Source organism: Homo sapiens, chromosome 6, assembly GCF_000001405.40.
Source record: "Homo sapiens chromosome 6, GRCh38.p14 Primary Assembly".
Classification (NCBI taxonomy): Eukaryota; Metazoa; Chordata; class Mammalia; order Primates; family Hominidae; genus Homo; species Homo sapiens.
Genome location: NC_000006.12, coordinates 104,806,513 through 104,831,791, shown reverse-complemented (window position 1 = coordinate 104,831,791; position 25,279 = coordinate 104,806,513). Strand labels below are relative to the sequence as shown.

General features: G+C 37.9%; 1 protein-coding gene across 18 annotated transcripts in view; it reads left to right on the top strand.

Annotated features, from left to right (window-relative positions):
- Window positions 1-25,279, top strand: part of HACE1 (HECT domain and ankyrin repeat containing E3 ubiquitin protein ligase 1) — a 131,826-nt gene that overhangs the window by 28,128 nt on the left and 78,419 nt on the right. For 9 of the 18 annotated variants that reach the window (NR_146789.2, NR_146790.2, NR_146791.2 and 6 more), the window contains one exon: window positions 20,399-20,481. The exons of 6 other annotated variants lie outside the window; for them this stretch is intronic. Coding sequence is in view for 5 of the 12 variants with exons in the window: in NM_001350556.2 (NP_001337485.1) it covers window positions 20,399-20,481 (83 nt within the window). In the remaining 7 variants the exon portion in view is untranslated. Of the gene's footprint in view, window positions 1-6,884; window positions 6,979-20,398; window positions 20,482-25,279 lie in introns of all 18 variants that reach the window. 3 more of the 18 variants (NR_146792.2, NR_104424.2, NR_146788.2) reach the window with 2 other exon arrangements.

Below are 25,279 nucleotides of genomic sequence, written 5' to 3'. Positions count from 1 at the left end.
CCTCCCGAGTGGCTGGGACTACAGGGACCGGCCACCACGCCCGGCTAATTTTTTGTATTTTTAGTAGAGATGGGGTTTCACTGCGTTAGCCAGGATGGTCTCAATCTCCCGACCTCATGATCCGCCTGCCTCGGCCTCCTAAAATGCTGGGATTACAGGCGTGAGCCACCGTGCCCGGCCTCTTTCTTTTCTTTTCTTTTTTTTTTTGAGACGGAGGCTCGCTCTGTCACCCAGGCTGGAGTGCAGTGGCATAATCTCAGCTTACTGCAACCTCTGCCTCCCAGGTTTAAGTGATCCTTGTGCCTCAGCCTCCTAAGTAGCTGGGATTACAGGTGTGTGCCACCACACCCAGCTACTTTTTGTATTTTTAGTAGAGATGGGGTTTTGCCATGGTGGCCAGGCTGATCTTGAATTCCTGGTCTCAAGTGATCTGCCTGCCTCAGCCTCCCAAAGTGCTGGGATTACAGGTGTGAGCCACCGTGCCTGGCTATTTTCTTTCTTACTCTAGGTTTCTAAAATCATGCATTTGTTTTATGACAATGCTTTCCTGTTATTCCTGTGTCCAGACATTTGGCTTTTGAAATTGCTATTTCTCTCTCATTAAGAGACTTTACTGCCTTATATAAAGATGGAGGGCTTAAGATTTTAGATTGAATTTCTGCTTTGCTGTAATTTTCTACCTTGTTTATGTTTTTAAGTTTTTTCTTTTTTTAACATTTAACATTATTGGTAATAGAATGTACAGGTGTGTGCCAGTAGTCTCAGCTGTTTGGGAGGCTGAGGTGGAGAGGTCAAGATTAGGTGGAGAGATCCCTTTGCCCAGGAGTTGTGGGTTGTAGTGCACTATGCTGCTTGGATGTCCACACTAAGTTTGGCATGAATATGGTGACCTCTCAGGATGCCAGATAGCTTAAGGAGAGGTGAACCAGAACAGGTCAGAAACAGCAAGTCACAACCCCCATGCTGGTCTGTTTGTGGGATCATGCTAGTGAATTACCACTGCACCTCGTCTCTTCAAAAAAAAAAAAAAAAAGAATGTAATTTATTTTCTTGCTGACCATAATAACAACAACAAAACCAACTCAAAGTCAGTACCATTAACTACAAGGATACAAAGTTTGTTTATTTTTTTGGTTACAAACTTTCTGAGTCTTATCTCTTGTTGGGAGAAGGGAGAATTCCTAGTGGAATCTGGATTTTTATCTCTTCAAACACTTTTTCCTTAACCTGGTTTCAGGATGTATGATCACAATTCACAGAATATTGGACTTCTTCAAGATAGTAGGCAAAGGTGACATTGTCTTATGTTTAATATGGTGTTGGAAAAATGGAGGGTTATAGGATCCTTTTTCTGTTTCCTGGAATTTTTTCTGGACACCATTGTTCATTTGCATTTTTTGTCTTTTATCATCTGAAAACCAATGCAGTGTTTTCAAGTATATTCTTCTCATTAGTTTTTACTTAGAGTCAATATTATTAAATTTAAAACGTATTCTATGTGGGAAAAAAAGATGTGAAATGTCCTAATCTTGAGTGACCCAGGTTTTTAAGGCACTATTGCATATTAGAGAATGAGTCTAGCCGATAGCTCTCAGAGGACAGAAGAGCACCTGCTTTAATATAAACACCCTTTGCTATAACAGGTGAGCAGAGTGTCATTTACTAAGACTTGCACACCCTACCTGTTGCCCAGGAACTTGGATAGGAAAATACTGGGATTCAGATTAGAAAAAGATTTATAAAAGCTAATTTTAGCTGCTTTGAACCAGTATAGAAGCAAGAATTACTAAGAAAACCTTGTTCAAAACATGTGCATTACAGGCTGCATTAAAAATTTAGAATTGCCTTCTGAAGTTACTGAAAATTAGGTGGTATAAGTATAATATACTCCATATGGTTTACAACCTAAAGCAAGTGTGGTAAAATAATGGAGAATTCCTCATAGTCAGATGCCTTTGAACAATTGTATTCTCAGAAGATTTATAGGGAGTCTGACTTCATTGTGGTGATGAGTTTCACAGAATGAGATTTTGCAGACAGAGTAGAGGAGGAGGGGTACAAAAAGTCATGTTGACTTGTGGTTGATTATGTAATGGCCAACAGGATTTATTCTGTCATAGTTGGTCAATTATAGTTACCTGCAATGATCATATACAGGTAAAGGGAATGCTTAGCACTGATTATTTTCTGGATCGTTACCTATGATGATCATATAAACATAAAGGGAATGCTTAGCACTGATTATTTTCTGAATCATTGTATGTATCTTTATTCCTTTTTCAATTAGGACAAGAGGGAATCTTGAAAAATTAGTCTATTTCTTTTCCTCCTGGCTGAAGTATAGTTCTACAAATCTGTGTTCATAGTTGTGCTAATACTGCCTGTTTCAGAATTACTCATGTATTTCTGGGACACATTCACATCTCAGTGTATAAGTGTATTGTTTTATCTTGAGTTGCATGTGATTTACTGGGCTATGAAATATGATGTTATAGGATAAAGGTTACTGATTTATTAAAAACCATTTGTATATCTTTCCATAAGTTGAACACTGAGTGTATAATGCTTTGTCAGGTATCCTAGTGACTCAGTGGCAAGTCAGAATGGCCTTTTTGTTGTTCAGAACTGGTGTCCATGTAGACATATACCAGTGCATGTAAGTTTCAATATTTTATTTTTAAGCTTAGGAGCTTACATAATTCTGATTATATATATTTTATAGAATAAAATAGAAAACTTTAAATGGGGAAAAAATTCCATTAAGAAATAAAGCACATGAGCTCTTTTCAAAGAGGCATGGATGATAAATCCTCTGAAATTCGCCTTCTAATCTCATTTTAGAGTAAATCTGAGGAGTGCATGAAAACATTTTGAGCAACTAGCTAAGCACCCTAAAACTTTGTAGAATATATAGCTAAATGCTATATTCTTGCTTCAATGACAAGAAGTGCTTTTTCAAATTTATATTACATTTTTTAAGGATAAAAGATTCAGAAGATTCATTTTTGTCATAACTAAGAACTTGAGTAATCTTAAATATGATTTCATATAGATGCAGCTGTTGCATTAGAGGTAAACATGATAAAGGTCTCATTTTCCTCTTGGAAGGAAGTGGTTTGGGCAGTTGAAGAGTGCACTCTGTTTTTTGTCATTGTAGCATAATAGCACCATGATTTTAAACTACTTCTATCCGTATTTAATAATGATCAGATGAAAGGAATCATAACAACTTCTTAATAATTTTATTTTTATATAACTTTTCTTAGATCAACTGTTAAACTCCATTCTTAGCTGTATCATACCAGAATTCTGGTATGTCTTTGGATACTGATTTCAAAAAATCATTTCAAAGTTTGGTTATTCAACTGGAGATATAATTTTACTGGTGATATAATTAAGGAAAATGTGAACACTTTGGAAGGCATTTAACAGCAATAATACCTACTGCTATTATGATTGTTATTAATATGTGTGATGTGATTCTGTAAAAGTACACAGATCAGTGTCTAGACCCTTTATTTATTTATGCTTATACAAGAAGCTGGGCCCAGTGTGTTGTTTTTTAATTTCAGTTTTAGCAAGTTGAGTAAAACCTAACACTATTCTCTGTAGGTATAATTTATTAACGCTTTTTGGACCATAAATTAAACCTAGTTTTTGGTAACTTTTTCTTTAAGATTTATAAATGTGTTGAATTGCCAAAAATGTTAATTACAGTCTTCTCAGAATAACGTGGATTTAGAAACCGTAGAGAACTGTCAAATAGTTCAGTCTAAATTTCTGTAAGTTAGATTACATGGCAGGATTAGTTAGGGACTAATTTGTAATTTATTTAAAAATAAATTTCACTTTTATCAGAATAAACCTTATTAAGTTTATGTAACTAAATACAAAGCTTCACAAACAACATAAAATGATAGTTGAACCCTTAGTATAATAGACTATATTAGACAGAACTGACTGCATTTTTTTACTAAAATCATAGACTTGTTAAGGAACAGTGCTCAACTATGTTCAGTCAGCTCTCTTGGTATCTTTAGCCAGCTTCCAAGTTTTTCATCCAGTTACGGACAGCCATGTAAACTTAATTGAAAACATTTTCCAGACATTAATTAGATTCAGCCTTGAGGCACAAAGGTAGGTAGACTAACATTTCAGAGTATATTCCTAGGGTCAGAGTAATTGTATTTATTCTAATGCTAGAATTCTCCTTTAATCATTTCTAAGAAGTTGAAACAAATAGTAGAAAGTTCTCTTACCACTGTTACTTTTATAACACAACCAGATGATAATGATTTTTGCCGGATACTATGTAAGAATTCAAAGTTCTCAATAGGTGAAGGTGGACAGGTTTTTAGAGAAGACATGTGTAAACCAGTCACTGATTAGTGAGTTGGGAGTTTTACTTAGTGTATAAGTTATTTGTGCATTGCCATAACTCATGTCATCAGAATTATTTTTAATAAAAAAAGTAAGGACACTTTTTTTGTTGTTTGGTCTCCTTTTAGCTAGTGATAATACCACAACTTTGATTTTTACTTAGAGTTTTATCATTGAATATCTATTCCTTTTTACTTTGATCAGTGTTTTGAGAGTTGACATTGATAAAGTAGGGCTGCCTTGGATTTCTTGCTTTGTAATTTATCAGTGTATTGGGCACAGGTGGTCTTGGTTAGTCACCGCCTTCAATTAAATGACTTGAGATTGACCTACACATTAGGTTTGTATGTTCGTTTTCCACTCAGGATATTGTTTTGTCACTTGAAAGGTTATGAAGTCTGTTGAAATATGTTATTTCTTCTTAAGGATCTCTTGAAGGCCATATGAAAATCCCCTATGCTTTTCTTTTGCGGTTCCTCCGCAATAGTTTCTTATTCTGTAAGGAGGAGGGAACCCCATTCTAGATAATCAATGACTAGGGGAATAGATAGTTTTTTTTGGTGGGGAGAGAAGGGGTGGAATTGGGCAGGGAATTTGCAATTCTAAATTTTTTTAAAAGTCTGTTTTGTCGATCCAGTTTTAGGCATATAGCTCTTAAAATTATGTATAAATGTAGCGTAGCTCTTAAAATTATGTATATTAACTTGAAAAATACATAGGTAATCATTTATCAGTCACCTATTTATGTTGGCATGCTTTTACGTGTTTGCATTTAGTAAATTGTAAGCCACTGCGCTTAATTTTAGCAAGTAAATGAGAAGCCATATAATTTTAAAAATAGAAGGTATGACCATCATTGTAAATCACAATTGTTAGGTTTTTTGGACTTCATGGCTTATAGATCAGTGCATTTTTCACAGAAGTATTTGTGGGATTTTAGGGGCAAGAAATTTGCTAAAATAAATTGAATCCAAATCATAGAAAATCCTGGTTTATTTTTCTGGATAGCACTGATCACCATCTAGTACACTACAGATTTTGTTTATTTACATCTTGTCACTTTATCTTCCCTTTCTACTATAAACTTCTTGAAGGCAGGTTTTTTTGTCTGTTTTGTTCATTGTTGTAACTCGAGTATCTAGAGTCGTGCATAGCACATAATTTAGAGCAGTGGTCTCTAACCTTTTTGGCACTAGGGCCCAGTTTCATGGAAGACAAGTTTTCCACAGTCAGAAATCGAGGGGATGGTTTTGGGATGAAACTGTTCCACTTCAGATCATCAGGCATTAGATTCTCACAAGGAACTTGTGCCTAGATCCCTTTCATGGGCAGCTTACAACAGAGTTCATGCTCCTATGAGAATCAAATGTTGCTGCTGATCCGACAGGAGGCAGAGCTCAGATAGTGATGTTCACTTGCCTGCCACTCACCTCCTGCTGTGTGGCCTGGTTCCTGATTTAGAGTAGTGCATAACACATTATCTAGAGGAGGGCATAGCACATAATGGGTATAGATTTTTGTTGAAAGATGGAAGAAACTGGTGGAGGGTGTCCAGATTCTTGGCATTTTGAACAAAGAATTGGACAAAATACACAAACAAGTAATGAAGCAGCAAAAGCAGATATTTATTGAAAACAAAAGTATACTCCACAGGGTGGGAATTGGCCCCAGCAGCTGCTCAAGGTTCTGGATACAGAATCTTCTGGGGTCTAAATACCCCATATATGTTTCCCATTGGCCACTTGGTGTTCGCCTCATGTAAATGAAGTGGTGGCCTGCAATCAATCAGAGGCTGAAGTTACAAAGGTCACACCCCTATGCAAACATCTGATTGGTTGTGGGAAGCAACTAATCAGAGGCTAAAGTGAAGTTACAAAGTTGCACTTCTGTGCATTTGAAGACTTGGCCCTCAGTCCGATTGCTTGCACATAACTACCTTCAGTTAGTCTGATTGGTTGCTATGTGCAGCCAATCAGAGGTTGGTTGCTGTGTGCAACCAATCCGAGGCTGAAGTGAAGTTACAGAGTTAGACTCCTATGCAAACGTCTGATTGGTTGCTTTTTACAACCAATCAGTGGTACTTTCAATTTCCCATCTGCCTCGCAAAGAGGTGGGGGTTTGCAAAGGTCGCTGGTCCTTTTGTTACTTAGGCGTGGAAAGTTAGGGTTTTCCTTCCAATTTATTTCTAGGAAGTCAGGGTGAAGTGGCCTTAGGTTCCCTGACTGCAGACCCTATTCTCCTGCCTCAAAACCACTCAAATGCAGGATCATTTTGATCCATATATTCTGCCATTTTCTTTGCATTTCTTTCTTTCTTTTTTTTTTTTTTTTGAGACGGAGTCTTGCTCTGTCCCCCAGGCTGGAGTGCAGTGGCGCATCTCAGCTCACTGCAAGCTCCACCTCCCGGGTTCACTCCATTCTCCTGCCTCAGCCTCCCGCGTAGCTGGGACTACAGGCGCCCGCCACCACGCCCGGCTAATTTTTTGTATTTTTTTTTTTTTTTAGTAGAGACGGGGTTTCACCGTGTTAGCCAGGATGGTCTCAATCTCCTGACGTCGTGATCTGCCCGCCTCGGCCTCCCTAAGTGTTGGGATTACAGGTGTGAGCCACCGTGCCCGGCCTTCTTTGCATTTCTAAATGTTTGTCACTTTTTTTCCTTTTGTATCTTTAAGTGGAGTGTATATTGATAGTGCTGATTCTTACAAAAGGTTGTATCTGTTTGTATCTATTGCTGAAAATTTCTCCTTTTGAGAATCCTTAGGGATTTTAAAAGTTTAATCCAGAATTTATTCTCTTGAATTATGTTGTGCCTTATGCTTTGATGCTTTGATACAATTTAAAACTCTCAGGTAGTGTTGTTTCTTCAAGAGCCTTTATGTATTTATTTTAACTTAATAAATGCTCAGAGTACATTTTCATCTATCTAAGTTTTAACCTTTGGGCACACATGAACAGTTTTCACATAGTTGAAAACATTGATTATCTTGTAGCACTTTGGAAGAATGTATGTGGAGTCTTGAAACTCCGTTGTTAAATTCCAGTTGTTAAGACCAGGCAATAAATACATCATTATAGTTCTACATAGCTATTTATCATTCATGATATCTCAATATCGTATGTGTGTATTGTCAACAAGAAAATAATTTGTTATTGTGGTTAGACCTTTTGCTTTACCACTGAAATATTGTTACTCTGGATTATTTGAGAATGAGACTCCATTTTGCACACTACTGTATGTCCAATTAAGGAGTAGTAAGAGACTTGGGAGGGCTCACCTTCCGAACAAGGCTCAGTAGAAACAGCCAGACTAGTAATGGGATGGGTTGGATAAGTGTTAACAGCCTCTGTCCCCTCGCCTAACACTAAGTAGACCTTCCTTATTATCCTTACTACTCATCACTGTGCAGTCTGCTAATTGTTGAGGTGAGTACATTTAAGGTTTCTTCTGTACTTGAATTATCTTTACTTGCTGTCCTCAGAGAAATGACTGGAGAGTTTCTTAAAACTGTGATTCAGGTTGTCTGTGACTTCCTAGCAGCTTTTCTTATTAGGCCATTTAATCAATAATTGACTGAATTCTGCATTTTCCTTTCCCTTCCTATTTTAGAGCTTTTACAAAAAGAAAACCGCCAGCAAACATCTTTTTTTTTTTTTAATTCACAAAGATAGATGACTTTGCACTCATTTCAGTGCTGCAAGGCAATTTTTTATTCTTTAAAATTCCTTTATACATTTTTATCCTAATTCTAAGGGAAGTAGGTTTTTCTCTGTTTTTTTATTTTTGGTTTTTATTGGGGGATTGGAGCAACATTTTATCTGCAAGTGCGCTATTGAAAACTTTAAAAATATGTTTCTTTTAATAGTTGCATATTTTGAGGATCTTCATCGGGCTGTTTTTTTTAAAAAAATAGAAAAGTAGAAAGATTTATGAATGGAAAATAAAATGCTGGAACAAGTAATTTCCAATTTTTTTTTTTTTTTGAGACAGAGTCTCGCTGTGTTGCCCAGTCTGGAGCAGTGGCATGATCTTGGCTCACTGCAACCTCTGCCTCCCAGGTTCAAGCGATTCTCCTGCGTCAGCCTCCGAAGTAGCTGGGATTACAGGTGCCCACTGCCATGCCCAACTAATTTTTGTATTTTTAGTAGAGACAGTGTTTCACCATGTTGGCCAGGCTGATCTTGAACTCCTGACCTCAGGTGATCCACCTGGCCTCCCAGAGTGCTGGGATTGCAGGTGTGAACCATTGTGCCCAGCCTCCGATTTTTTAATCAAGTGTTTTTCTCTCTTAAAAAAAAATTAATGTCTTTGTAGGATATATTAAAAGTGATAGCAAAAACCACAATTACTTTTTCACCAACCAAATACAAGGCTATGACAGTTTATATTGTAAATCATGTTTTTTTTCTATGATTTGCTTCAAGTTTGTCTCACCAGTTTGATGAGAACAGTAGAGGAGTATGTTAGTCTAATGAATAAATTGTTTTTATATTGTAAGCGCTACAGTATAAATAGAAATACGAAGCAGTATAAAAAATACATGGTTTAAAATACCATTACTTTTTTTTTTGGAGACACGGTACAGGCTGGAGTGCAGTGGCGCGATCTCCGCTCACTGCAACCTCCGCCTCCTGAGTCCAAGCAATTCTCCTGCCTCGGCCTCCTGAGTAGCTGGGATTACAGACATGTACCACCACGCCAGGCTAATTTTTGTATTTTTAGTAGAGACGGGGTTTCATTATGTTGGCCAGGCTGGTCTTGAACTCCCGACCTCTAGTGATCCGACTGCCTCGGCCTCCCAAAGTGCTAGGATTACAGGTGTGAGCCACCGCGCTCGGCCTACTTTTTTTATTTTTTATTTAGAGACAGGGTTTCACTCTGTTGAACCGGCCGGAGCGTAGTGGTGTGATCATAGCTCACTGTAACCTTGAACTCCTGGGCTCAAGTGATTCTTCTGCCTCAGCCTCCCAAGTAGCTAGGGCTACAGGCACACACCACCACACCTGGCTAATTTTTTTTTTTTTTTTTTTCTGAGATGGAGTCCTGCTCTGCCTCCCAGGCTGGGGTGCAGTGGCGTGGTCGCGGCTCACTGCAAGCTCTGCCTCCTGGGTTCATGCCATTCTCCTGCCTCAGCCTCCTGAGTAGCTGGGACTAGAGGCTCCTGCCACCACGCCTGGATAATTTTTTTGTATTTTTTTTTTTTTTTTTTTTAGTAGAGACGGGGTTTCACCGTGTTGATCTCCTGGTCTTGATCTCCTGACCTTGTGATCTACCTGCCTCAGCCTCCCAAAGTGCTGGGATTACAGGTGTGAGCCACCGCGCCCGGCCCACGCCTGGATAATTTAAAAAAAAAATTATGACTTTCTTTTGTAGAAATGGTGGTCTCACTATGTTGCCCAGATTGGTCTTGAACTCCTGGCCTCAAGCACTCCTCCCACTTTGGTCTCCCAAAGCCCTGTGGTTACAGGCATGAAAATAGCATTACTTTAAAACCATACACAAGTAGCTGTCTAGGTACTTAAGCTTGACTCTGTAATAGTTATTTAGTAGGGAGTTACTAGATTATCTGTGATTAATGTAGTTTATGAAGATGTGTCAGATTAGCCGTTAGTACTAAATAAATACTATTTAGTAATCTGAATTCAGAAGAATTATAATGCCTACTTTTTGATAAATAGAATAGTGATTATGAACATGGACTTGGGTTTTAATCCCTGCTTCAATGTTTACTTATGTGTTGGGGTACAAATTACATGATCTCTTTGACACTCAATTTCCTGCTTATAAAAGTGAAGAGAATATCACCTTCCTCGAAAGATGCATTAAATGAAATGATAAATGCTTATTAGCACACTGTCTGGGTACATATTAGTGTTATTTACGTTATATCATTACATAGTTTTAACAGTATAGTTTTTATAAATAGTATATTTTGTTAAAATTTCTTTATTACAGTTTCTGGATTGTTAGGTTTTAATTGCATGCTAATATATATTTTCAGTGTATTGGCTTTCATCTCTCCTGAGCCAGTTGAGAGTTGAAGACTTATTTTCTATAATTTCTTTTTTTTTAACTTTTATTTTGAGTTCAGGGGTACAAATACAGGTTTGATACATAGGTAAACTTGTGTCACGGGGCTTTGTTGTACAGATTATTTCATCACATAGGTAGCCTAGTATACATTAGTTATTTTGCCTCATCCTTTCCCTCCTCCCATCCTCCACCCCTTTGAAAGGCCTCAGTGTATATTGTTCCCCTCTGTATCCATGTGTTCTCATCACTGAGCTCCCACTTATTAGAGAGAACGTGTGGTATTTGGTTTTCTGTTCCTGTGTTAGTTTGCTAAGGATAATGACCTGCAGCTCCATTCATGTCCCTGAAAAGGACATTGTCACGTTCTTTTTTATGGCTGCATAGTATTCCGTGGTGTATATGTACCTCATTTTCTTTATCCAGTCTACCATCGATGGGCATTTAGGTTGATTCCATGTCTTTGCTATTGTGAATAGTGCAGCAGTGAACATATGTGTGCATGTATCTTTATAATAGAATGATTTATATTTCTTTTGGGTATATACCCAGTAATGGGATTGCTGGGTCAAATGGTATTTCTGTCTTTAGGTCTTTGAGGAATCACCACACTGTCTTCTACAATGGCTGAAATAATTTACTCCCACCAACGGTGTTTAAGCCTTCCTTTTTCTCTGCAACCTTGCCAGCATCTGTTGTTTTTTGACTTTTTAATAATATCCATTCTGACTGGTGTGAGATGGTATCTCATTGTGGTTTTGATTTGCATTTCTCTAATGATCAGTGATGTTGAGCTTTTCTTTCATATGATTGTTGGCCACCTATATGTCTTCTTTTGAGAAGTGTCTGTTCATGTCCTTTGCCCACTTTTTAATGGGGTTGTTGTTTTTTTGTAAATTTGTTTAAGTTCCTTATAGATGCTGGATATTAGACTTTTGTCAGATGCATAGTTTGCAAAAATTTTCTCTTGTTCTGTAGGTTTTCTGTTCATTCTGATGATAGTTTTTTTCGCTATGCAGAAACTCTTTAGTTTAATTAGATCCCAACTTCCAATTTTTACTCTTGTTCCAATTGCTTTTAGCATCTTTGTCAGGAAATCTTTGCCTGTGCCTAAGTCCTGAATGGTATTGCCTACATTGTTTTCCAGGGTTTTATGGTTTTGGGTTTTACTTTTTTTTTTTTTTTTTTTTGAGACGGAGTCTCACTCTGTTGCCCAGGCTGGAGTGCAGTGGCACAATCTCGGCTCACTGCAAACTCCACCTCCCGGGTTCAAGCGATTTTTCTGCCCCAGCCTCCTGAGTAGCTGGGATTACAGGCATGTGCCACCATTCCCGGCTAATTTTTGTATTTTTAGTAGAGATGGGGTTTTGCCATGTTGGTCAGGGTGGTCTCGAACTCTTGACCTAGTGATCCACCAGCATTGGCCTCCCAAAGTGCTGGGATTACAGGCGTGAGCTGCTGCACCTGGCCTGGGTTTTACATTTAAGTCTTTAATCCATTTTGAGTTAATTTTTGTATATGGTGTAAGGAAGGGTTTCAGTTGTTTTCCTATAGCTAACCAGTTATTACAACACCATTTATTGAATAGGGAATCCTTTCCCCATTGCTTGTTTTTGTCAGGTTTGTGGAAGATCAGATAGTTGTCAGAGTGCGGTCTTATTTGTGGGTTTTAGATTCTGTTTCATTGGTCTATGTGTCTGTTTTTGTACCAGTACCATACTGTTTTGCTCACTATATCCCTGTAGTATAGTTTTAAGTTGGGTAGCGTGATGCCTCCAACTTTTCTTTCTGCTTAGGATTGCCGTGTCTGTTTGGGCTCTTTTTTGGTTCCATATGAATTTTAAAATAGTTTTCTCTAGTTCTGTGAAGAACATCAATTGTAGTTTAATAGGAATAGCATTGAATCTATATAAATTGCTTTGGTTAGTGTAGCCGTTTTATTGATACTGATTCTTCCTGTCCATGAGAATGGGATGTTTTTCCATTTGTTTGTGTCATCTCTGATATCTTTGATCAGTGGTTTGTAGTTCTCCTTGTAGAGATCTTTCGCCTCCCTACTTAGTTGTATTCCTAGGTTTTTAATTCTTTTTGTGGCAGTTGTGAATGGGAGTTCATTCTTGACTTGGCTCTCAGCTTGACTCTTGGTGTATAGGAATGCTAGTGATTTTTCCACGTTGGTTTTGTATTCTGAGACTTTGTTGAGGTTGTTAATTGGCTTAAGAAGCTTTTGGGCTGAGACTGTGGTATTTTCCAAATATAGTGTTATGTCATCTGCAAACAGGGATAGTTTGACTTCTTTTCTTGCTATTTGTTTGGCCTTTTGTTTTTTTCTCTTGCCTGATGGCCCTGGCCAGAACCTCCAATACTGTGTTGAATAGGGGTGGTGAGAGATGGCATCCTTGTCTTATGTTGGTTTTCAAGGTAATGCTTACAGGTTTTGCCCATTCATTATGATACTGGCTGTGAGTTTGTCATAGATGGTTCATATTATTTTGAGGTATGTTCCTTCAATACCTAGTTTTTTAAGAGTTTTTTTTTTTAAACATAAATCGATGTTGAATTTTATCAAAAGCCTTTTCTGCATCTGTTGAGATAATCATGTGGTTTTTGTCTTTAGTTCTGCTTATGTGCTGAATTACATTTATTGATTTGTGTATGTTGAACCAACCTTGCATCCTTAGGTTGAAGCCTACTTGATTATGGTGTATGAGCTTTTTGATGTGCTGCTGGATTCTGCTTGCCAGTGTTTTTGTTAGGGATTTTTGCATCAATTTCATCAAGGATATTGGTCTGACATTTTTTTTTATTGTATCTCTGCCAGGTTTTGGTGTCAGGATGATGCTGGCTTTATAGAATGAGTTAGGGAATAGTCCCTTCTCAATTTTTTGGAATAGTTTGAATGGGAATGGTAGCAGCTTTTCTTTGTATATCTGGTGGAATTCAGCTGTGAATTCATCTGGTCCTGGGCTTTTTTTGGTTGGCAGGCTTATTTTCTGTAATTTCTATAACAGTAGTGAACACCGTTGCTACTTTCCATCTCATTCCTATTTTGGGACCTTACAGACACCACTTCTAGGTCAATGATCAGAGGAAAGCCATGATTAGAAGGCCCACGTAGTCCTTCTCTTATAAAATAGTGACTGAAATACTTGTTTTTCTTATATTTGAAAGCTATAGTTGACTACTTGTTTTCAGTTTAGAGGAATTACATAGATTATAATATAGTTTTATATAACAGTGTTTTTATTACATAGATTATAGAATTCATGTTGGGGTAGAAGTAAATTTAAATAGACATGTGAATACTATGTCTTAAAAATATTTTATTAGTATTAAAATCTTCTGATAAGAATGCTAGTCCCTTAAACCACCCTTCCTCTTTGTTAAGTCATGATCACCAGAGGCAACAATTTTCAACTTTCTAAACTTTTCCTTTAATATGTATTTCCAAATAACAAGCTTCCATGGCTCTTTCTCAGTTTATGACTTTTAGATATTATTTAATCATTTCTTGTTATGGTAAATGATGATTTATAAGTTTTGATTAGACAGTATTGGTTATATATAGTTAAGAAGGTATTGTTTACTGCTCAGTCAAGTAGTGAACTGTAATAACGTTCTTTTTTGAGGATGGCTGTTTTTCTTGAAGTTAATAATTGGGTTTGCTCAGTTTTCTTTGTATGAATCAGCGTTTCTTCATCTATATGCTCCTATAAAATATCTCTTCCTACTCTCTTCTACAAAGACAGATTCATTGGATAGTTTATCAGTTCCATCTTTCTTTCTCCTCTATATTAATTCATTTTACCTGATATAAAGAACTACCTGAGGCTGGGTAATTTATGAAGAAAAGAGTTTTAATTGACTCACAGTTCTGCAGGCTTAACAGGAAACATGACTGGAAGGCCTCAGGAAACTTACAATCATGGTGGAAGGTTAAGGGGAATCAGACAGCTTCTTCACATGGCAGCAGGAGAGAGAGAGTGTGTGCAAGGGGGAAGTGCCACACACTTTTAAACCTACAGGACTTGTGAGAACTCATTCACTATCACAAGAGCAGCAAGGGAGAAATTTGCCCCTATGATCCAGTCACCTCCCCCCAGACCTCTCTTCCAATTTGACGTGAGATTTGGCGGGGACACAAATCCAAACCATATCATTCCACCCCTAACCCCTCCCAAATCTCATGTTCTTCTCGTATTGGAAAATACAATTATCCCTTCTCAACAGTCCTCCAGTCTTAACTAATTTCAGCATTAACTCAGAAGTCCACAGTTCAAAGTCTCATCTGAGACAGATAAGTCCCTTCTGCCTATGAGCCTGTAAAATCAAAAACAAGTTAGTTACTTCCAAGATACAGTGGGGGTACAGGCATTGAGTGAATGCTCCAAGTGGGAGAAATTGGCCAAAACACAAAGGCTACAGGCCCCATGCAAGTCTGAAACCTAGCAGGGCTGTCATTAAATCTTAAAGCTCTAAAATAATTTCCGTTGACTCCGTGTCTCATATCCAGGGCACACTGATGCATGGGTTGGGATCCTGAGGCCTTGGGTAGCTCCACCCCTGTGGCTCAGCAGGGTACAGCCCCCTAGACTGCTTCCACAGGCTGACATTGAGTACGTGTGGCTTTTTCAGGTGCACTATGCAAGCTGTCAGTGGGTCTCCTATTGTTGGGTCTGGGGGGTGGTGGCCCTCTTCTCACAGCTCTACTAGACAGTGCCCTGTATGGGGTTCTAACTCCACATTTCCTGTCTGCACTGCCCTAGTAGAGGTTCTCCATGAAGGCTCTACTCCTGCAGCAGACTTCTTCCTGGACAGCCAGGCATTTCCATACATTCTCTGAAATCTAGGCAGAGGTTTCAAAACCTCATCTCTTGCCTTCTGCACACCTGCAGGCCCAACACCACGTGGAAGCTTCAAGGCTTGGGCTTGCACCCTCTAAAGCAGTGGCCTGAGCTGTACCTTTGCCCCTTTTAGCCATGGCTGGAGCTGGAGCTGGAGCATCTGGGACACAGAGCACTAAGTCCCGAAGCTGCACAGAGCAGTGGGGCCCTGGGTCCGGCCTGTGAAGCCATTTTCCCCTCCTAGGCCTCCAGGCCTCTGACATGTGGGGCTGCAGTGAAGGTCTCTGACATGCCCTGGAGACATTTTTCCTGTTGTCTTGGTTATTAACATTCAGCTCCTTGTTACTTATGTACACTTCTGCAGCTGGCTTGAATTTCTCCCCAGAAAATGGGTTTTTGTTTTCTACTGCATGGTCAGGCTGCACATTTTCCAAACTTTGTGTTCTGTTTCCTCTTTTTTTTTTTTTGAGTTGTAGTTTTGCTCTTGTCGCCCAGGCTGGAGTGCAATGCAGTGATCTCGGCTCACTGCAATCTCCGCCTCCTGGGTTCAAGCAATTCTCCTGCCTCAGCCCCCCGAGTAGCTGGAATTACAGGTCCCTGCCACCACGCCTGGCTAATTTTTATATTTATAGTAGAGATGGGGATTCACCATATTGGCCAAGCTGGTCTCAAACTCCTGACCTCAGGTGATCTGCCCGCCTCAGCCTCCCAAAGTGCTGGGATTACAGGCGTGAGCCACTGTGCCTGGCCCTCTGTTTCCCTTTTAAACATATTCCAATTTCAAACCATCTCTTTGTGAATGCATGTAAGTGAATGCTTTCAGAATAAGCCAGGTCACATCTTGAATGCTTTGCTGGTTAGAAATTTCTTCCACCATAGTCTGGGTGTGCTGGGTCAGGCCTGTAATCCCAGCACTTTAGGAGGCCAAGGTGGGTGGATCACTTGAGATCAGGACTTAAGGACCAGCCTGGCCAACAGGGTGAGACCCCATCTCTACTAAAAACAGAAAAAATTAGCTGGGTGTGGTGGCGCACGCCTATAATCCCAGCTACCTGGGAGGCGGGAGAATCACTGGAACCTGGGAGGTGGAGGTTGCAGTGAGTTGAGATCATGCCATTACACTCCAGCCTAGGAGACAGAGTGAGACTTTGTGTCAAAAAAAAAAAAAAATTTCTTCCACCAGATACCCTAATTCATCTCTTTCAAGTTTAAAGTTTCACAGATCTCTAGGGCAGGGGCAAAATGCTTCCAGTTTCTTTTTGCTAAAGCATAGCAAGAGTGATCTTTACTCCAGTTGCCAATAAGTTCCTCATCTCCATCTGAGATCACCTCAGCCTGGACGTCATTGTCCATATCACTATCAGCAGTTTGATCAAAACCATTCAACAAGTCTCTGGGAAGTTCCAAACTTTCCCACATCTTACTGTCTTCTTCAGAGCCCTCCAAACTGTTCCAACCTCTGCCCCTTACCCAGTTCCAAAGTCGCTTCCACATTTTCAAGTGTCTTTATAGGAGTGTCCCACTCCTGGTACTGATTTTCTATATTAGTCAATTTTTCACACTGATATAAAGAACTACTTGAGACTGAGTAATTTGTGAAGAAAAGATGTTTAATTGACTCAGAGTTCTGCTGGCTTAACAGGAAGCATGACTGTGAGGCCTCAGGAAACTTACAATCATGGTGGAAGGCAAAGGGGGAAGCAAGCATCTTCTTCAGATGGTGGCAGGAGAGAGGGAGAAAGAGCGTGAGGGGGGATGTGCCACACACTTTTAAACCATGAGCTCTCATGAGAGCAGCAAGGGGGAAATCTGCTCCCATGCTCTGGTCACCTCTCACCAGGTCCCTCCTCCAATTCAACAGGAGATTTTGGCAGGGACACAAATCCAACCCATATCACCCTCTAAACCTAGAAATAATCTTAGTGTCTCTCCCATGTTTGATCTCCATATTCTAGATTCCATATCTTCTATTATGGTTTATTCTCTTTCTTTGGAGGAGGATATGCTTCAGTAGCTTCTTGAGAAAAGGTGCATTGAAGATAATTTAAAAAATCTTATAAAATAGTTAAACATGTTTTTTATTTATAACCATCTATTTGAATAATAGTGTAGTTGGCTATAGAATTCTGCATATAATTTATCTTACAATTTTGAAGGCTTTTTACCTTTTAGATTTCTGTGTTGCTGTTGAGAAGTTTTAATGCCCACATGATTTCTGTTTATCTCTGGAATCTCTTATCCCTGATGTTATCATGAAATTTCACTTTGACATGCCTCGTTGAAGGTCTTTTGATTTAATAGACTAGACACGTGTTGAGCCTTTTAAACCTGGCACCTGATGTCTTTCAGTTCTGGGAACTTTTTTGGTATTATTTCTTGGTTATTCCCCTTTGGTCCCTCACCCCCTTTCTTTTCTTTATTCTTATTTTCTGCAGTATGTCTCCCTTGATTGATTCACAAATTTTCTCATCTTTCCTATTTTCTACTTTGTCTTTTTATTCTACTTTGTAGAATTCCTGAACATTTTCTTTTTAAACTTCTGTTGAATTTTTATTTATTGCATTGTATTTTTGATTTCTCATTTCCTAAATATTTTCTACCCAACATCCTTTTATCATTCCATGGTATAATTTCTTTTCTGTTCGAGGTTATCAGTTACTTTTCTAATTTTTGTTGTTTTCTTTGGTTCCCTTTACTGTCTTTGTTATTCTGAGTTTCATTTTTCAGTTGTAATTTTTGTTTTTCAGGTTAGAGGCCTGCTTCAGTTGTATTTTTAATATTGTCTGTTCATTCATGTGTAATGGTGAGGCACTCAAATGTTGGCTGGAAGCGTTGTGTACATGAGTTGAGTTTGTTGACTACTTGGTTTGACTGTACACCAATGTTTCTTGGTCTCAACACTGTTGATATTTTGGATCTGATAATTCTTTGTTGTGGGGGCTGTCATCTGAATTTTAGGATATTTAGCTGCATCCCTGACCTCTACCCACTAGCTGCCAATAGCATTTTCCCTTCCCTGGTCATGAAAATAAAAAAGTTGCCTCATGTTCCCAGGGGAAAATTTAACCTTGGTTGGGGATGACTGCTATAGACCCATTGTCCCGAATTGGGCTGTTTCTTTATTTTTAATTTTTGTTTCTTTTTAGAGATAGGGTCTTGCTTTACAGATAGCGTCTTGCATGCAGCACCATGCATGGCTAATTTTAAAATTTTGTTGTGGAAATGGGATCTCTCTAAATTGCCTAGGCTGGTCTTGAACTCCTGGCCTTAAATGATCTTTCCACCTTGGTTTTCCAAAGTCTTAGAATTACAGGCATGAGCCACCATGTCTGGATGAACTGAGCTGTTTCACTGGGGACTTTCTAATGCCAATATCTGTAAGATTCTTTTCTGATGCAAGTCTTGAGAGGAAGCTTTTAATTCCTTCTACTTGAGATTTTTAAGCCTGCCTGCTGGATTTCTGGGAGCCTAGTTGGAACATGGAGGCTGGAGGTTTTCACTTAATTTGTTGTTTTCACGATGGCTCCTCATCTTTGCTCTACCTGTGTGTCTTGTCTCCCAGTCCAGAGCCTCCCTGTTCACTTTGTGCAGAGAATAAACTTCCCATCTTCTGAGACAGTGTAAAGAGGGATAGTAACTAACTGGATAGGATGGGAAGAAAGGTCCTAGGGGGAGAGTCTGTTTCTTCTATTGACTTTCAACTATTCCTCCTATTTTTAGCTCTACATAACCATTCCTATATTCCAAGGTACCTGGTACTTCCAATTCCTCTATTCCTTTTTTGTTTTCTTAATGTGTGTGTTCTGTAGTAAGAATTGAGTTGCTTATTGTTGGAATCCCCATTTGTGGGCAGTTAGACTTCAGCTTTCTTTGATCTGCTAAGTCAGTTACTATTTCTCCATTTGCTTGCTATCTTTCCAAAACTTACTGACTTATCCAGTATGCTGTTGTTTTCTTTCTTGTTCTTCCTTTGGGTGTTTAGTTTTATTATTTTACTGACATTGTACTTTGTTTAAAAGCGGCAAAAAAGATGAACAGATGTGTTCAATCCAGAAGTAATAAGCGTCTAATTTCAAACTATTTTGTTTTTTTTTAAGGCATGGGGTCTTTCTCTGTTGCCCAAGCTGGAGTGCAGTGGTGTAATATAATTCATAGTAGCCTTGAACTCCTGGGCTCAAATGATCCTCCCACCTCAGCCTCCTGAGTAGCTAGGCCTACTACTATGATGTGCTGCCATGACTAGCTCATTTTTTAATGTTTTTGTAAAAATGGGGTCTCACTATGTAGACTAAACTGGTCTCAAACTACTGGCCTCAAGCCACCTATTGCCTCATGTTTTATGTTTTTACATTTTCTTCCTTTTTGCAGGAAAAACTCAAATGAGGATTTTAGGAATAAAACCATGAAAGTTTTTTTTTTTAAAGGTTTTCAACTGGGCCCTGTCCTGTCCTTAATCAACAGATATGTATTTTTAAGATTTTATAGTAGCGTACTCTCTCTTAGTATGAGTCAAATGATTAGAGGAGTAGAGCTTAGGGGGCTAAGTATATATTAATGGCAATCAGTGAAATTGAGCCTGTATATGCTACTGTTAATAGCAAAAGGGCTTCTTAGCTTTTTAAAATTTTATATTTTAATAATTATGCTCTTGACTTTGGGAAAGTTATTATTCTGGTGCTTAGTTTTTTAGAGGTGAAAAATTCTGGTATTTAAAGCAATTTAAATTCAAGTATCTAAAGCAATAGGGTCCAATTCACTAGCCACATGTGGCTATTTAGATTCAAATGAGCTATAATTAAATACAATTAAAATTTTAGTTCCTTAGCTGTACTAGCCACATTTCAAGTACTTGGTAGCCAATATGTAACTACTGACTACTTTTGATACAGTGCTGCTCTAAAGACTCCCAGATTAACACAGTTTCTATTACACTGATAATTCCACATATATGTGTGTTGTGCCTGAGACACTTAGAGCTTACAAAAAGTTGAATTTGCTCAGCCATAGTAATTGTCACGTGCCCACTCAGTTCCTATGTAAAGCTTCAAGTTGTGGGAAGAACTTCCCTTATATGGATTAAAATTGTGGTAATTGTATCTTTTGTTTGATTCCTCTGGCTTTACTTTTAATTATTTTTTCCCCCTCAGACAGTGCAGTGCTTGCTAGACAGTGGTGCTGATATTAACAGGCCAAATGTATCAGGAGCAACTCCATTGTACTTTGCTTGCAGGTATGATATTTTATATTTCCAGATGCTATATATGCTCATATATATATATATATATATATATATGTATAAATAAAGAAATATATATATTTCCAGATGTATATAATACTCTATTTCTAGACACACACGTTTCTGTGTATTTTCTAAAGCTCTCTTGTTTTCCCACAAATATGCTGTCTTTTAAGAGGAAGTACAATCTCTTTTTTAAGATGAAGTGTTATGGTTCTATTACTTAACTGTATGAGGAAAAGTATTTTCTGTTATATTTAATTGCCATTGCTTTTATGTTACATGTGGAGCTTTTGATTTGCTTGATTACTTCAATTTTAGACTAAGTACTTATTAACAAAAGATAAATCAGTAATCTGGTAATTCCCATCGTTTACTGTGTTATGTAACCAGGTCATTTCCAGTGGGATAAGCTGTTGGAATATATCTTGATCCAGAGCCATGTCTTTTCTTTCTCTGTATCTATAACCAAAAAAAAATCTTGAGTCAGTCTTGTTAGATATTGTTATACATTAAGTTATTTTTGTATTTCTTTATTGGTTCATTTTCTTGACGTGTACATTTTGTTCACTTATTCATGTATTCGGCAAATGTTTAGTTAACGCTCACTGTGTCATGCATTGTTGTAGGTGTGTAATACAGTAATAAATAAACTCTATTCCCTAAGGAGCTATCAGTATAATTATACACATGCCGTCACACCCACACCCACACACATATGTAAAAATATATACACACCTACATATTATGTATTATGTAAATGTAGTTATAGAATACTATAGTAATTCTTCTTTTTGATTTAAATTATATGAATTGTAATATTTATTTAGGCCTTCATATTCCGATATAGAGCTCTCCAGAAAGCTCCTCTCTTCTTCTTTTTTTCTGTTTTATATCATTTTATTGGAAGTTGGTTTTAGGTTGAAAGACCTGCTTTTTTTCTTGTTTAGCTTCTTGTTGGGGTCTCTGATGTGCCTTTGATGAGACCAATTCAGATCATCTATTTAACAACCCTGTATTAGAATTCAGGGGCTTCTGGGTTTCTAGACTTCCAGATCTTTCTGATTCCAGCCATTTTCTTGCATTATATTTATGATTTGGTTGCTTGGCTAGAAAACCAGTTCTTTCCATAGTGTCCTGAATTTATGAATAATATCATCATTTGATTCCCTGTAATCATGTTGTATCTTGAAGGGTTATCTTTAGATCAGACCTTTTTTGAACCTCCAGATTTGAATGTCCATCTGCCTGTTTAACATCATCACTTAGAAGTACCACAGAATCTCACATATTAACATGTCAAAATACAGCTTCAGATTTTCTTCCTCAAACCTTTCCCCCAGTTTTTCCTCATCTTAATCAATAGAAACCTTATTGTCTCAGTTGTTTAAATTAGAAATAATTAGGTTATTTTTTATTTCTCTCTCTCTCTCTTTGTGAACTTGGAATTTATTAGTAAGTTCTGTAAATTCTACCTTCAGAATATGTTCGGAATCTGAACTTCTAACTCAACCAAAACCACCTTAATGTTGTTACCTTTTGCCTAGAGTACTGCAGTAATCTCTTCACTGGTCTCCCTGATTCCTATGTTGTTTCCCTCCAATCTCTTCTTTCCTCAGCAAAGTGATCTTAAAAAAAAAAAAAAAAAAGAATCTGCTCTTGTTACTTTGTGTTTAAGCCTTGTATATAAAACTTTTCAGTGCCTCGTTGTTACATTTTAAATATAATTCAAGTTCTACCTTGGCCTGTGAGACCTCCATGATTTCACTCCTGTTTAGCTCACTGTACTTGAACCACAGTGATTCTCTTTGCGTTCCTTAAATGCAACCAACTCTTTCAGCAGGCTTTTCTACATGGTATTTGTTTTGCCTGAAATGTTCTTCCTTAGGCTTTTTACAGGGCTATTTCTTATTCATGTTACTGCTTAATTAAGTAACTTTTTAGGAAGGCAGTTCCTGACCAATCTAAGCAGGTCGTTCCCCAGATTTTTGATCGCAGTATCACAGTCATTTCCTTCATAGCACTTCCTATTCTGTAGTTGTTTATTTACTTTCTTATAGTCTGTCTCCCCTACATGCCTAAAAATTCAGTGAAAGCAAGAATAGTGTTTATTTTACCACTTTATGTCCAAAGTGTAGTACAGTGTTTTGCACTTAGATGCATAGTAGATGTTTTTGAATGAATGCATCACTATGAAAAATATCTTATAAAAAACAATGCCATTTATAATAGTTAAAATAGAGACATGTTAGTGTTGTGCAGAACTGGGATATCCCTATGGTTAGTCTGAGCTTAGGGATATGGCAGAAGGATTTTTAAGAAATACTTTCTCCTAGTACTGTATTCCCATCATTTAGTTTTAATCTAGCAAATATTAGATCTTTTTGAACAAAGATGGTTAAGCAAGTCTGTGATGAAATGTGAAACCAAAAAATCATTGTTGTAGAAGAATAATAGATATGGAACATGGTTCTTCTGCAGGCACACTTTTAATTTTACTTGTGATATCTTGATACAGGTATAAATTAAAAATATAAGTTATTCCCAATGTGTTATTTCTGATAAATGAAAGGGAAAGGAATATAGGAAATAGAACAAGTTAACCCCAGGACAAATTATAGGGCTCTAAGATAAAGGTTAAATGGAATGTATAGTTTTTATTGGTTGATAAGTATTACTAGATATAATATATTATATCATATTCAAGGGTCAACTACTGAAACTGTTTTCTTTGTATTTGAATTTTGCAATTAAATTTAGAATGGTATTAAGATACAGGGGAAAGAACCTAGTTTGTGTAGGCAGGTTCAAATCCCAGCACCAGAGCTATACAACATTAGTCAAAATTCTTGATCCCTGAAGCTTTGTTTGTTTGTGAAATGGAAGTGCTGATATCTGCCTGGTGAGATTATTGTGAAGATTAAATGTGATGGCTTCTATAAAGCATGCTGCAGAGTATTCAACACTTAGTAGTTGATAGGTGCTCACTAAGTTCTGACATACTTCTTTCACTCTTCAGTGAGCATAAAGTCGTGTTGTCCTCATTTAATTTAATTGCTCTACAGGGTTTTCTTTTGTTTCTTGTCTAATTCTAAGCACTTTTTTTTTTTTTAATTTTTGAGACAGAGCCTCAATCTGTTGCCCAGGGTGGAGTGCAGTGGCGTGATCTTGGCTCACTGCAATCTCTGCCTCCTGGCTTCAAGCGATTCTCCTGCCTCTGCCTCCCGAGTAGCTGGCATTACAGGCATGCGCCACCACACCCAGCTAATTTTTATATTTTAGTAGAGATGGCGTTTTGCCATGTTGCCTGGGCTGGTCTCGAACTCCCGACCTCAGGTGATCTGGCTGTCTCATCCTCCCAAAGTGCTGGGATTACAGACGTGAGCCACCGTGCCTGGCCCTGGGCACTGTTTTATAATGTAGTGTTTCTGTGAGTCTTTTTCAGATGGATTTTGACCTAAAATTATGATAGAAAGGGTTTTCCAGCCAGTTTTCTTCTCTGGATACTCTGGACAGGACATTATAACTCATGTAAACTATATAACTAATTAACTCATTCCTTCTGTCATGTAAAATATAGGCACACATTGATTTTTTTTTCCCCCTGCCATCTTTACACACCTTTAAGTCTTTTATATGACTTCTACCAATATTTCAAATCCTGAAATTATTAGATTGGTTTTATATTCAATCCTTATGTTCTCAGTTCCTTCAACTGAGTTCTTCAAATAAAGGTTGGGATGTATAATGGTTTTCAGGTATTTTCTGTTTGTAGATAACTTTTATTCTATTAGGAAAAGCAAGGTTTAGTTAGAGTTGTATAGATACAGTAAATTAGTAAGATGTTAATGGAGTTTTAGAGGTCTCTACTAGAGACAGAAAGGGCTAAGATTTAGAACATGGATTTGTAGCTACTGCGAAGCAACTCGTTTCAGTTAGAGTATTCAAAATCAAAGTAGCCATATAAAAGAGTTCTTAGACTTGGCCAGGCACAGTGGCTCACACCTGTAATCCCAGCACTTTGGGAGGCTGAGGCGGGTGGATCACGAGGTCAAGAGATTGAGACCATCCTGGCCAACATGGTGAAACCCCGTCTCTACTAAAAATACAAAAATTAGCTGGGCATTGTGGCGCACGCCTGTAGTCTCAGCTACTCCAGAGGCTGAGGCAGGAGAATCACTTGAATCTGAAAGGCGGAGGTTGCAGTGAGCCGAGATTGCACCACTGCACTCCAGCCTGGGCAACAGAGTGAGACTCCATCTCAAGAAAAAAAAAAAAAAAAAAAGAATTCTTACACTTAAAATTGTAAACTTTCAGCATAGGAACGGACCTTTAGAAAATATGATCTGTTTCATACGCCATTCCCAATAATATTACAACTGTCTGGACTATTTATACTTATGCCAAATTCTCAAATTTATAAGGATGAAAGAGTCCAAAGTTAGGGGGCCGAAAGTGTTTGAGAAATCAGGTCTAAGTGCTTTAGAAGCCACCACAAGTTTCTTATTAGTTAAATTTTTGTTGACTTCTTAGTTTTCATAAAATACATTGGCAATTTCTTGAAGAGAGTATTATCTCAATCAATATTAAAAAATTGAGACTATCTCAAAAACAACTTCATTTATAAAGAATGATTATTTGTTGAGTAATTTTTTTTAGTTATTTAAACTGAAAAATCTTTTATGCAACACTCTGAGCAGTCTGAAAGAGGATCGTTGTAATTGAATTACAGGTGAGGCACTTGAGCCCCTAACTGCGTTGTGCAGATTTTGTATGTTATTAGCTATTTATT